General features: G+C 33.0%; 1 annotated feature.

The window, feature by feature from the left end:
* Nucleotides 559–678: a silencer, noted in NCBI's record as "silent region_5392". NCBI's record gives its function as "represses an Ori minimal core promoter by ATAC-STARR-seq in GM12878 lymphoblastoid cells {active_cell/tissue: GM12878}" and the evidence as "EXISTENCE:reporter gene assay evidence [ECO:0000049][PMID:35858748]".

Consider the following 15,139-nt stretch of genomic DNA (forward strand, 5'->3'; position numbering starts at 1 on the left):
GAAAGAGAATCTGAAGCTTGAGAAAATATTTGCAAATCATATATCTGATAAAGAACTAGTTTCCAGAATACCAAAGGGACCCTTACAGATCCGTACAGACAGATATTAGATTAGCAATAGGAAGCTGTTTTGGTGAGTGGGAAGCAGGAATGGTCAATGCCTACATAATGAGCCGTAGTTATTTCTTGGGATGATGAAGATTTTTAAAATTCGATTGTCATGTTTTTTATACAACTCTGTGAATAGATTTACAACTGCTGAAGTGTACATGTCAACTAGTTAATTCTTATGGAATCTAAAATTATGGAGGAAAGAGTTTGATCAGCAGGTCTGGTTTCCTCAAACCCGGCATTCTCCTAAGAAAAAGGTTCTCTGCATGACTGACTTCTGCTTGATCTACAGTCCTTGATTATTCTGCTTGATAAGAATGTTTTTCCATTTCTGAGTCTGTGGGCCACACTGTATCAACTTAATCAGATAATTTATGTTAACAATATGATTTATGGTGAGTGCCTGTTTGTTTTTCTTCTGTTTTTAGAGAGGGGGCACTGGAATCTGAGTAGCTGCGGTCAGTGACCCATTCACTTCATGCCTGCACTAATGACTCACAAAAATACCCAGGACCGCAAGACTCAAGTAAGCTCCCTAGGTGGCAGCACTACTAACATATTGCCGCACATTATTGCTGGGAAGCACATCTGTGCAACTCCATTGGGTGACATCTGAAAGTCTATACCTAGTTCTCTTAGATTTCTTCCCATGTGACTTTTCCTTTTGCTGATTTTAATCTGAACCCTTTTGCTGTAGTCAACCATAAAGGTCAGTATAAGAAGCTTTCTAAGTTACCTGAGTCCTTGTGATTCGGTGAGCCTGATGTTGACTTTGGAGACCCTAATACAGAAATATATCTATCTATATAAAGCTATAAGAATAAAAATTAAATTATAGCCAAGGAAAACAAAAAGTTAGGCCAAGATTTCAGCTTCTTACCTATTACAGGACGGACAGATTTTATAGTTTAAACCTCACCAATTAGAGAATGTTTCTAAATATCTCAGGCTTTCCAATGGTACACCAAATGGATACACTTGAAGAGCAAAAGTGAGGCATAGAAATAATAATTCACCTAATGACAAAAAAATCTAATATTCAAGGTTAAGAATTTACTCTAATTGTGAGAGCAAAACTCAAATTTACTCAACATTGACAAAGTTTGAAACCAATTATTTACTGCTGTTTGGCAAGTTAACATCACTTGATAGCGGGGAAATTCAAATTAAAGCCAAACCACACAATTTCACACTCAAAAGTGTGACTAAAGTTACTAAGACTGAAAAAAGAAAACCACCAAAATATTTGGAGAGAATGGGTAAATGTATTGTGGTATTTTGTATGTTAGAAAATATTCAGCAATTAAAAATAATTAGCTACTGATACAAGCAACAAATGACATGAGTCTCAAAAATACGATGTTAAGTGAAAGAAGCCAGACACAAAATAATACATATTGAGTGATTCCATTCATAGTCAGTTGAAAAACACGAACAAATCTAAAGTGGTAGAAATCAGAGGAGATGTGGTATGAGGACTGTTGACTGGAGTGTGGCATAAGAAGACTTTTAGAGGTGATCTTTTTTTTTTTTTTAATTAGAGTAGGTACTATGACCTAGTGAAGTTGGCACTTAAAATTAACCATCACGGCCGGGTGCGGTGGCTCACGCCTGTAATTCAAGCACTTTGGGAGGCCGAGGTGGGCAGATCATGAGGTCAGGAGTTCGAGATCCCGTCTCTACTAAAAATACAACAATTAGCTGGGCTTGGTGGTGGGCGCCTGTAATCCTAGCCACTCGGCAGGTTCAGGCAGGAGAATCGCTTGAAACCGGAAGGCAGAGGTTGCAGTGAGCCGAGATCACACCACTGCACTCCAGCCTGGGTAACAAGAGCAAAACTCCGTCTCAAAAAAAAAAAAAAAAATTAACCATCACATATACTGATGCAATTACTGCTCATAGTAGATACTGTAATAGAGGACTAAGGCCTTTTTATAGTGATACATGCACTATTAAAATGCATTTGCATGGAAGAATATATATATTTCTCTATATATAGATAATATATGTAATCTCTATATGTATACATACATAATATGTAATCTCTCTATATATGAATTTCATTTATATACTATATATAAACTATATATAGTATGTACATACTGTACTATATACTATATATAATATCTAATACAGTATATTTGGTTTATTTGTTCTCTCTCCCTCTCTCTCTCTCTCCCCTCTCTCTCCCTCAGTGTGTGTGTGTGTGTGTGTGTATTTTTGTTTATATATATATATATCTTTCTCTATATATTTATATCTTGAACTTTCTATATTTTATATATATATATGTGTGTGTGTGTGCGTGTGTATAAAGAGAGAGGGAGAACAAATGAAACAAACCAAATATTGTACTCCACTTCCATTGAGCAGAATTTTGTGTCCTTGATGACTCATAACCTGATTTTATTAATATTATACTCTAATTCCATTGTACTGAACATCCTGAAAAATAATCCCACTCATCCAACCACCTCCTCCATGTGTAGTTTCGGGCTATTCCAATCTCACATTAGACTATCTTATTTTTGAATATTCAGGTCTGCTTCTGCAGGGTCCAGGCAGGTTAAATAAATAACTGAAGCAACCTGTGTGATAAAGCACATGCCAATCTACAGGAGACTGGAACTGCACAATGCCAGTTAGCGCTGACAAGCACAATGTGAAATTAATGCAGCTAGAGCTACTGAGAAATTATAAATGTGGATTTTTATTTGCTGTCTTTTGAAATAAAAATGTTGGCTCAATTTTTTACATTTGGTAGATCAAACAAAATAAATGTGTGGGCCATATGTGATCTCTTGGCTGTCAATTTATGACAAATTTATGACTTTCATAAACAAATGACTTGTAAGTATCCCCAACCCAGTAGAATAAAGGAACATTCAGGATATCAAGGTTTCTTAATATATCTGTGGATGGAGAGATGATATGTTTCTTCTAGCTCTATTGTATGATGCTTAGAGATAATAAAGCAAGTAATTTGATTCTCTTTTTATAGATATTCTGCATAGGCTTAAAACTTAAAACTTTATTTACCTATCACAACATTTTTTTACAGTAACTTTTCACTACCTCCTTGCGGTGTAGACTTTAGTGTACTCTGGATTTTTAGTTCTAGATTAGAACTATGATGTATACAAACCATAGAGTTCTGTTTTTATATAACTTTATTTGGAAAGCCATACTTCCAGGCCAGTGTCTAGCATAAAGTCAGGTGTATTATGGGTTTTTAGCTACATATATATTCCACTCATTACTAGAATTGCTCTAGAGTGCAACATGCACACTCCGTAGCAAATTTTCTGGCCCCGGAAGGCATTCATCTAATGCAGATTCTCAGAAACCAGGATCATTTTTTTTTTGCTAGGTTATCTGGGTGTGGTAATACTTAAGGATGATTTTGTGTGTGTGTGTGTGTGTGTGTGTGTGTGTGTGTGTATAGCATTTGTCTCTCATGATAATCATGTTGACTCCATCTTCTACATAGAATGCTTCTTGACAAATACCTACTGTACATGACAGCACAAAATTAACACTGTCCGTTTTCCTCTATCCCCAGTCATGTTACACATTCATTGTATCTCATTAATAGATGCAGACAAATAAGGATTCACTGAGAGGAGAAAAGAAAAAACCTCTGGCTGCCTTAGGTTATAGTTGGCAAAGGTTGGAGCTGTGTTAGGAGAAGCCAATTTCATAGGGAAGAGGCAGAATGAATCAAGAAATTCTTTATATCTTCTTTACTGCCATTAATGTTTTTTCTTCCCCTCAGGGCAGATAGTGTATAAGCCATAAATGGGTTTCCCAACCAATGCAAAGCCTGCCATTGGTAGATTTCTTTCCTAAAATGTACCCCATTCTCTTGTCATTTATTTTAATGTTCATTTATCAGTTTAATCCAGGGAAATCAGTCATTGTAGAAAAGAAAAGTCAGCCAGAAACTTGGAGGTAATAATAATATATTGGTATTACAGAAGAAAGTATGACAGATACTACAATTGGCTTACTCAACATCATATGGCTTTTTTACCATGCCTTTAAAATAGAAACAAGAAAACTTTAAAAATCTTAAACTTTTTAAAAAACTGCTTTGAACCTGAGAGTGTCCATGGGACACATCTGACTCAAGAAAGGAAAGCAGAGGTCAACTGGGGCCAACTCCATGGCTTCTCCTTCTTCTTTCCTGGAATTCTGGTGATAAATAACAGTTTAATAGTCATTGTTAAGAAAAAAGTATCAAAAGGTAGAAGGAGACCAGCTCCTTCATGTCATTATTGAGGCAGAATTCCAGTCTTAGTGTATTCACTTATAGATTTATTTTTGCATGATATCAATAAATCTGTATTTGCTTAAGCTACTGTAATCAGGTCTCTTATAAAACAAACCCCCTACAAAGTATATAGTAAAAAGAGAGCTTTAAGGGCAGTATAATCTAGGTATCAAGAAAACAGGGTCTATTTTCTTTGGATTCTAAGGCTATGTCCAACATTAATATAAAAAATAAATTTAAACATGCAAAAAATTTGTTTAACAGAAAATATACTCAGTAAAATATGAAACCTATCATTATTATATTTTTATGATATATATTATGAAAAATACCAATCTTTTGAAAATGTCAGCTGGGTCTATTAGTGTCATTTACAAACTTCCAGATTATTCTACAATAACCTTTGTGTAACATTTCTACATTTGGCCTTATTGCATGTCATGGAGAGTTCTACTCAACCAATCTGTTAATAATCATTTATGATAACAAAGCAAGGTTGTCACTTCTGACTCTCAGTCCACTCATTGATGTATGTGCAATCCTTGATGAGCAAATCATCTGTTCTGACTACTTTTCTTGAAGTATTGATGACACTCATCACTAAGTATAACCCTGCACATTGTGGACACTCCCTTTTTAAATGTTCTGGGAAAGGTGGGGTTATAGACCCGAATTTAAAGAGCTTTTGCATTCTTGAATTGTGAGAACACCAGAAACTTCAGGCTCACCCTGGAGGATGAACCTCTTAGTAGGAAGGGCCTCTGTTCCACATGAACTTGCCATCAGTTCCTGAATGTCTTTTTCTCATTGGAAACCTCTTACTCCATGCTCACATCCCTCTATTCATAGTGCACAAATAAGCATGCATAAAAACCATCACTAGAACTGAAAAGGACCTTTTTGAAGAAAAAGATTTACTAAAAGATATAACAATATCCATTATCCAGTGAATGTTGTAAAGCATCTAAAAAGCTGATTTAAAAAAGTACAGCTTATGCATGACAGTAAACATATGTTATCTCACGTATTTTAAGAGACCAAGTTACCGAAAAATTTACTAGCTGGGGTCCTTCATTTAATACCCCTCATCCTATCTTTGATATCCATTATTTTTGAAGAGCTTAGACATTTAAAGTAGAAATGCTTAGACATTTAAAACATTTTATTCCAGCCTCTGTAGGACACATTTATTCCATTCTAGTTCCTTGTAATAAAAATAATGCTTTAGTCAGTAGAAGGATCATATGACCTCAACACATTGATAAGATTCTGCTTTCTATACAAAAAACTAAAACAAACAAAAGCCCTCAAGTATTTTCCATTATAGAATGAAGTTTTAATAACTTAGATTACTAAAACAAACATTCAAATGTTTTTTTAAAAAGAGAAATAAAACATATTAAGCGAGGTTATATCAATGAAGGCCAGAGAGGGAAGAAAACTTCTAGAAAGTATTTCAACATTTTTATGGCACTCACTCATTAATTTAGAATAAAACAAAATCTTACTATATGAGCAAAAATATTAGATACTATACCTTGTGCTTCAGAGAAATAAAAATGGGTAAATCACTAATTATAACTATTCTAGCAGTTCCCAACCTATCAGAAAGAACACAGATTTGGAAAAATGTGATATAATATGTCTGGTGTATTTTACAAGTGAATATATGGTACAGTAATAGCACGAGAGAGATGGTTACTTCTCTGAGGATGGTGGAGGGGATCCATTGGCTACATAAAAGATTTGATATTGACATGAGTCTTAAAAATTGAGCAAGAATGCATTGTGTTATAAAGAGTAGTATTCCAAGCAGAAAAGGCAGCAACCCCAAGCTCTCCTTCCCAGAGGTAAACAGATCATAAGAACTGGTTAAAAAGGTAATTATATCATTTTAAATTAATGGTTTAGCCGGATATGTTACTTTCATCTGAAAACAAAATCTAAGGTTCAGTCAAGAATTAACTTTGTTGAAAAAACTTTCTGTCCTTCAGATGTGTATTAACACTCATTTTTTTTCCATTGTAATGGATCAAGTAATCAAAAGAACACAATACTCCAAAAGTTGATGCAAGAGGTAGCATAATTGCTGCCTGCACAGAAATATCACTTGTGTTGCTTAATCAAATACACTGCAAATTAATGAGAACATCTCGATTTTCTATTCCCGGGGTTTAGAACAGCAATGGCCACACAGTAGTTGACCAATAAATACATATTGAATGAAAAAATGAACAAACAAGATGAGCAATTTTCAGTCTTAGTCCCAGTGGTAATTCACCTAGTGCTGTTACAGCTTAATTCCAATTGTTCTTAAATGGATCTTTAGAATATATTTGCCAGCAATTGTGAAATAGAATAGTTATTCTTTATTAAGGTAGCAAATGAATAAACCTGGGTAAATAGCAACCCAAGTAGTAAGGGGAATGTCATACAAAGGCTTCTGGAGGAACTAGTTATAAATGATTAACAGCACATGTATGAAAAACAACCTAGAAATTATTAGTAAAAATTCAAGAAGTTCAGAATGTATTTAATACAAAATATGTATATGTAGTGATATGAAATATAAAGGGTCAATATTAAAGTAATATTTAGGTATAATGTAAAATTTTCCTCAAAGATACTAATATCTTCATTAAAAACTAAAATAAAAGCTGATCTAGAGGAAAATTTGCTGCTCTGTAATAGTCTAAATAGTTGTGTAGCAGAATGTGTCCATGTGACTAGTCATCCATAAAAGCCTTGGACCTTAGCCAAGCACCATGGCTCAAGCTTGCAATCCCAGCACTTTGGGAGGCTGAGAGGGGCAGATCACTTGAGGTTTAGGAGTTCGAGACCAACCTGGCCAAAATGGTGAAGCCCCATTGCTACTAAAAATACAAAAATTAGCCAGGTGTTGTGGAGGTGGCCTGTAATCCCAGCTACTCTGGAGGCTGAGGCAGTAGAATTATTTGAATCCGGGAGGTGGAGGTTGCAGTTAGCCAAGATCACACCACTGCACTCCACCCTGTGACAGAGATAGATTCTGTCAAAAAAAAAAAACAACCTTGAACCCTGAGAATCAAATGAACTTTCCTGGGCCAGTGTATTTTGCATGTGTTCCTGGAGTTTGCTGCTAGAGAGAACAATGTGTTCTGTGAGATTTGGTAGGGGAATGACTTAGAAACTTGATATTGACATGAGTCTTAAAAATTGAGCAAGAATGCGTTGTGTTATAAAGAGTAGTATTCCAAGCAGAAAAGGCAGCACCCCATGCTCTCCTTCCCAGAGGTAAACAGATCATAAGAACTGGTTAAAAAGGTAATTTTATCATTTTAAATTAATAGTTTAGCTGGATATGTTACTTTCATCTGAAAACTGCTGAAAGATGCTATGGGAGAGATGTTGAGTCTGTAAAATAGGGATTTGGAGTAAAACAACATGAGAAAAAAAAGATGGATCTACATAAGTGTTACAGAAGAGAACACAGACCTACTAACATGTTATTCAGAATTACCAAATAGAAAGCCATCAACTATAATTGAGAATAAGCATAAAGAATAAAAATGATCAAAGTTCAAGAAGTTGAGTTAATAGTATTTCAATCTGAAGGTGGATATTTAAAAATGGGTAAATTTAAAATAATTAAAACTTTAAAGAATGAGAAATATAAAAATGTAATATGAAAAAGTATAAGCAGATGTGAAAAAGAACCAAAATTATATTTCTATAGGAGAGAAGTGTAGACTTTCTAATGTAAAGCCCACTGAGGTAGATTAATTTAAAAATATGTACGGAGGAAGAGAGGATTGGTGAACTAAGAGTATTATAAAATGTAACAAGTGAAATAGAAAAACATGATGATAATTAAGAGAAATTAAGAGACCAGGAAAATAGGATAAATGTGTCCATATGTGTGTAAAAAAAGAGTTACAAAAAATTATTGGGAAGATGGAGCAAATGTAATATTTCAAACAAGGTTTTCATGAGAATTTTCCAGAAGTTCATAAAGGATATTAAAGCAGAGTGAAAAGCAAGGAATAAAATATAAATTAACAATATATTAGAATTTAAAGCAAGGAACAATAGTATTGTCACTGAGATCAATACTGGAAATATAGCAATGAATATACATTAATGTGTAAAGATAGGTGAAATGTCTGAGATTTTACTCAAGTTGACAAATCAGCATTCTAGTTTCTTGAGTAGTGGCAGAAGACACATGATTCCTGTGTCAGAGAAAAAGGACCTTATTTCCCACGGCAATAGCAGTAGCCAGAGTATCAGAGTATCATCATTGGTGTAAGTTCCTCAAGCTTGAATTCACATAGGGTGATGTGAAGAAGGCCAAGTGACAACTTACCGAGGGTTGTGTTACAGGAGAGGAACACTTTACAGTGGAAATCAAGAGCTAAGGAAGCCAAGATCAAAAAGCTGCAGTTAACTGCATTGCCCTCAATGCAACTGCCTCTTGGCATCCAGAAAGCTGCATAGTATTACAATGCTAAGTAAAATTTTTTTCATTTTGTGCATTTTTGATCAGAACTGAAACAAAAAGATGGATTATCTATACCTCTACATTACAAATTTCTTACAATTGCATCTATAGATTTTTCATGGAAATGAACATTTTTATTTTAAAATTTACATGAAAAAGCAAAATGGTACAATTTGCTAAGACAATACTGAGGGAAAAATGTTGAAGGTGAGATGATATCCTCTACTAAATGTCAAGATTTATCATATAATTACATGAATTAAGTTAGCAATTAAAGTAGGGGTGATATTAGAGCAGAATAGAGAGCCCAGAAATATTCTCATAGCTTTCTGGAGATTGATATATGGCAAAGTTAGAACTGTAAGCCAGTAGAGTCATTTCATTCTCCTGTCTCAGACAGAGGTTTATTTTGCCTTTACCCAACATCTCTTTGCATAATAAAGGAAACAATAATAACAACAAATATTTACTGAGCACTTTTCGTAAGCCAAAAGCTTATCATTTATGTGCTAAGTGCTTTTCATGAATTATTTCATGGAACCATCACCACTTTGTGAAGTAGGAAGTATTAGTTACACGTTACAAATGAAGAAACTGAGACATTGGGGAGAATATTGAATATTTTAACTACATAAAAATTTAAAATTTCTGTTCATAATATGGCCCAATAAAAGTGAAAAGAATAATGGCCTAAACTCTGCAGAGATATTTGAAATGCATATTTTTCCACTTTATTTTTACTTTTTCATTAAATATTATATGTACATTTTATACACTAGGATTTGTCTCTTGACTGGATCTTATCTACTGCCTTTTTCCGTTTTTCATTTTTTTAGATTATCACATAATACTTGCATATATTTATTGTGTACAACATGATGCTTTGAAACATGTATGTATTCTGGAATGGCTAAATTGAACTACTTAACATATGCATTACTTTATATGCTTATCCTTTGAGGGAGAATGAAAACAATTAAAATCTACCCTCTTAACAAATTTCAATAATATAATACATTGTTATTAATTATAATTATAAAATAGATCTTTTGAAGTTATTATTCCTAGCTAACAAATTTTGTGTTCTTTTACCAAAACCTCCACAAAGCCCTAACCCCTAGTTCCTAGTAATTACCATTCTGCTCTCTGTTGAGTTCAACTTTTTCAGACATTACATATAAATAAGATCATGCACTGTTTGTCTTTCTGTGCATCGCTTATTTCATTTAACATTATATCCTCCAGGTTCATTCATGTTGTCTTAATGACAAAATTTATTTCATTTGTAAGGCTAAATAGTATTCCATTGTGTATCTATATCACATTTTCTTTATCCATCCTCCTGTTGACAGTTTAAATCCATATCTTGGTAGTTGTGAGTAATGCAGCAATAAACAGGGGAGTGCAAATATCTCCACAACATATTAATTTCAAATACTTAGGATATATACCCCATAGTTAAATTGCTGTTGTATATGATAATTCTATTTTTAATTTTTTGAGGAACCTCTGTTCTGTTTTCCATAATGGCTTTACTAATTTGCATTCCCACCAACAGTGTGCAAGGAATTCCTTTGCTCCATATCTGCTCCAATACTTACCTTTCATCTTTTGGTAACAACCATTCTAAGACTGTATGAGGTGAAATATTGTGATTTTGATTTGCATTACTCTGACAAGAATTTTGGGCATCTTTTCCTATACCTGTTGATCATGTGTATGTCTGCTTTTGAGAAATGTTTATTTAGGTGCTTAGGTTATTTGTTTTCTTATTACTGAGTTGTTTGAGTTACTTTTATGAATATTAACCCCATATCTGATGTGTGGTTTGCAAATATTTTCTCTCATGATGTAGGTTGTCTCTTCGCTCTGTTGATTATTTCCTTTGTGGTGCAGAATCTTTTTAGTTTGATGTGACCCTATTTGTCTATTTTTGCTTTTGTTGCCTGTGCTTTGGGGTTCATATTCAAATAACCATTGCCCAGAACAATGTCATGGAGTGTTCCCCCTATGTTTCTTCTAGTAGTTTCACAATTTCAGGTCTTATATTTTAGCCCTTAATCTATCTTGAGTTTAGTTTTGTATATGGTTTGAGATAACAGCCTAGTTTCATTCTTCTGCATGTGGATAGCTTCTTGCCCTAAACCATTTATTGAAGTGACTGGCCTATCCTCATTATGTGTTCTTGGCACATTTGCCAAAAAATAAATTGACCATAAATGGGTGAATTTATTTCAGGACCCTCTATTCTATGCCACTGGTCTGTGTATCTGTTTCTATGTTAGTACCTTGCTGTTTTTATTACTATAGCTTTTTAGTATATTTTGAAGTCAGGTAGATACATATTCTAGAATAATTCATATATGAGGCAGCAAAACAAATTATAACAAATTTTAAAAGATTAAAATCATATCAGGAATCTTTTCCGACCACAATGTTATGAAACTAGAACTCAATAACAGATAAATTTTAGAAAATTCAATAACATGCTCCCGAGCAATTAATGGGTCAATGAAGAAATTAAAGGGGATATTTAAAAGTATCTTGAGATAAACAGAAATGGAAACATATGCCAAAATTTATGGGATGAAGCAAAAGCTGTTTGAAGAGGGAACTTCATGTACAATAAAGATGTACACGAAAATATAAGAAATATTCCAGATAAACTATCTAATGTCATAAGTCAAGCAACTAAAACAAACAAAAACAAGAACAAATTAAGCCCAGAGTTAGCAGAAAGAAGGAAATAAAAAAGATCACAGTAGAAATAAATGAAACAGAGAGTACAAAAACAATAGAAAAGATCAATGAAACTAAGAGTTGGTTTTTTTGAAAGATAAAATAAACACACTGAGAAAAAAAAGAAGGAAGTCTCAAATAAATACAATAAGAAGTGAAAGAGAATCCACTAGAACTGATAAAACAGAAGTATAAAGAATTATAACAGACTATTATGACCAATTGAACACCAACAACTGGATAAAGTAAATGAATAAATTTCTAGACACAAACAAACTACCAAGACTGAATCACAAAGAAATAGAAAATCTGAACTGACCAATAACAAGTAAGGAGATTGAATTAGCAATAAAAAGTCTCCCAGCAAAGAAAAGCCCAGGACCTGATTACTTCACCACTGAATTCCACTTGACATTTAATAAAGAACGAATATCAATATTCAAACTCCTCCAAAAAATTGTAGAAAGAATACTTCCAAAATAATTTTATGAGGCCATCATTATCCTGATTCCAAAGCCAGATAAGAACCATACAAACAGAGAAAACTACAGGTCAATATCGCTGATGAACACAGATGCAAAAATCCTCTACACAATACTAGTGAACTGAATTCAATAGCATGTTAAAATGATCATTCACCATGTTCAACTGGGATACATCCCAGGGATGCAAGGATGGTTCAACATATAGAAATCTATAAATGTGACAAACTGCTTCAACAAGATGAAAAACAAAAATCAAATGATTATATCGATAGATGCAGAAAATATCTGATACATTCAACATTGTTTCCCAATAAAATCCCTCAACAAATTAGGCACAGAAGGAATGCACCTCAATACAATAAAGGCCATATATGACAAACTCACAGCAACCATCATAATCAATAGAAAAATGTTGAAACCTTTTCCTTTAAGCTCAGGAACAAGACAAAGATGCCTATTCTTTCTATTCAAAATAATACTGGAAGTCCTAACTAGAGCAATTAGTCAAGAGAAAGAAATAAAAGGCATCCAGATTGGAAAGGAAGAAGTTAAATTTTTTCTGTTTACAGATAACATGATGTTATACATAGAAAACCCTGAAGTCTCTACCAAAAAAAAATTATTAAAGTTAATAAGCTTACTCAGTAAAGTTGCAGGGTACGAAATCAATATAGAAAAACCAAAATCAATAGTCTTTCTATACCAACAGCAAACTATCAGAAAATAAATCAAGAAAACAATCCCATTTCAGCAGCTATAAAAATAAAATACTTAGGAATAAATTTAACCAAGGAGGTAAAAGACCTTTGCACTCAAAACCATAAAACACGGATGAAAATCAGTGCAGAATGCACAAATAAATGGAAATATATCCCTGTCCATTGACTGGAATAATTAATATTGTTAAAATGTCTATACCACCCAAAACAATCTACCAATTTAATGAAATCACTATCACAATTCCAATGACATTTTTCCCAAAAATAGAAAAAAAACAGCTTAATATTCCTATAGAATCACAAAAGACTCTGAATAGCCAAAGCAATCTTTAGCAAAAATAATAAAACTAGAGGTATGATACTCCCTGACTTCAAAGTAAAATGCATCTAATATTGAAACCTAAATTCAGTACAAAAGCTTTTGAAGACCTTCTGTGTGTGTGATGGTGGTGGGGGCTCTGGGTTGAGTAAGCCAACTCATCATATTATTGCCAGCCACCACGTCACTGTTAATTCTCAGACTGCAGAGGCTGAAGTATCTCACGAAGCTCTGATCTAGATAAATAAAAATGCAATTTACTTCTAGGCACATAGTAATGAAGCTGCGGAATACCAAATATGAAAAGAAAATCTTAGAATCTAATAGAAATAAAAGACTAATTTCTGAAAATAGATATACAACTTGACTAAAAAGGAAATTTCTTTGTAGAAACAGACAAAAATTATATATCAATAATATAACGATATTGCCAATAAAAAATCCTATTACCTGCTATTCTTTAAGACTAATTGTGAAATAAAGGGATTTTTATAGTTTTTAAAAGTTTGTGAAAAAATCATTTTAAATTTTTATCCAAAAGGAATTAAATCCATAAAGAAAACATTAAAATGCAAAGATCAATGTTTTCATATTATTTTTATTTGAAAATATGTTTCATCATTTTTTGGAACATTTTATATTTAAAAATATATCTAAACATGACAGTTTAGCTCAGTATTAAAAGTAATATATTTTGAATTCATATCATTAAGCAATTGAGAAATACTTAACATGAGCTAGTTGTAAGTCTTAAGTAAGAAAAATAGAATTTTATTTTATTCATACCATGTATCTTTCTACTTCCAGAGAAAGATCTTTAAAAAAAAGGAAATATTGATTCATACCATCTGCTCTAATGTCAGTCACACCAAGAATTTTCAGCATTCTAATCTTTACTAACTTTTAGGAAAGAAGGCATTGTTTTTTTTTTGTCTTTACTGAATAGATGGCAAAAATAGTGCCCTTTAAACATTTATTTTATTCTATTTGGTAAAATAATAGAAAAAGAAATAACATACTTTAAAACACAGTCTTCTTTTTCATTAAGTGTGAAAATACTTTTTATGAATGTAACATTAAAGAATCACAGCACGGCTCATAACTAAGTCATTAAAGGGAGAAAACAGTGAAATATCAAGAGTGATAAAGTCTGTCTGAGGTACACTCATGTTTTAATATTATGTTTTTATTATTAAGGTATTTCATTTTATGCTCTTTTTTATTCATGATATTATGTGGAAAACAAATGAACTAAAATGTGGTATTATATCAGTGAGATTTTTTTTCAACAATACAGCATTTAATGATCAATCTACATTCCATAGTTGTAGGCCCCTACATCTTCAATAAAGTGTACTGGCAACACTCCATTGCAACAGTACTGCATGTGAAATTAGTTCACACTAGATGGCAATATTTCCTAATCAGGAGCCCCAAGTTTTGCTTCTATAAAGTAGTCTTTTTTATATATCATCAGCTAAATGTTTCTCCTTCTTCTTCCCTTTTTTTTAAAATCCTTCCCAATATCCATTTTTCACTGCTGGTTTGCTAATATCCTACTGTTCAGTATTTTGGTGACCAAAATCTATCTATATTGATTCCCTTGCTGTATGCTTTGTTCCTTCATGTTGAGTCTCTTTTGTCCTCCAAGAAAGAAATTGTGAAGGCTGCAGAAAGAAATATGCCAGGATATTAGAAAAGAAGCCCATACAATAGGGATAATGGGTGGATGAAATAGAAATAGTGTTGAGACATTGACTCAGCTATTGAGAAGTCGGCTGTGCAATGTATAATAAGAAAGGGACAAGGTGCATTGTGGTTCAGTTCCATTGCCTATTTTTAAAAAATGTTTTAAATACCTGAATTGATTTAGTTTTCTATGTTGAGTCAAAAGTTTTTTATTTCATCCTTTATGCTTTATCTGCTGTCTTAAACATAGTAACATTGCAATACTATATATCCTGAGCCTTTTGAATATTAAACAGATCAGTCAAATTTGACCTCTGATGCAACT

Source organism: Homo sapiens, chromosome 13 (assembly GCF_000001405.40).
Source record: "Homo sapiens chromosome 13, GRCh38.p14 Primary Assembly".
NCBI classification, from domain to species: domain Eukaryota; kingdom Metazoa; phylum Chordata; class Mammalia; order Primates; family Hominidae; genus Homo; species Homo sapiens.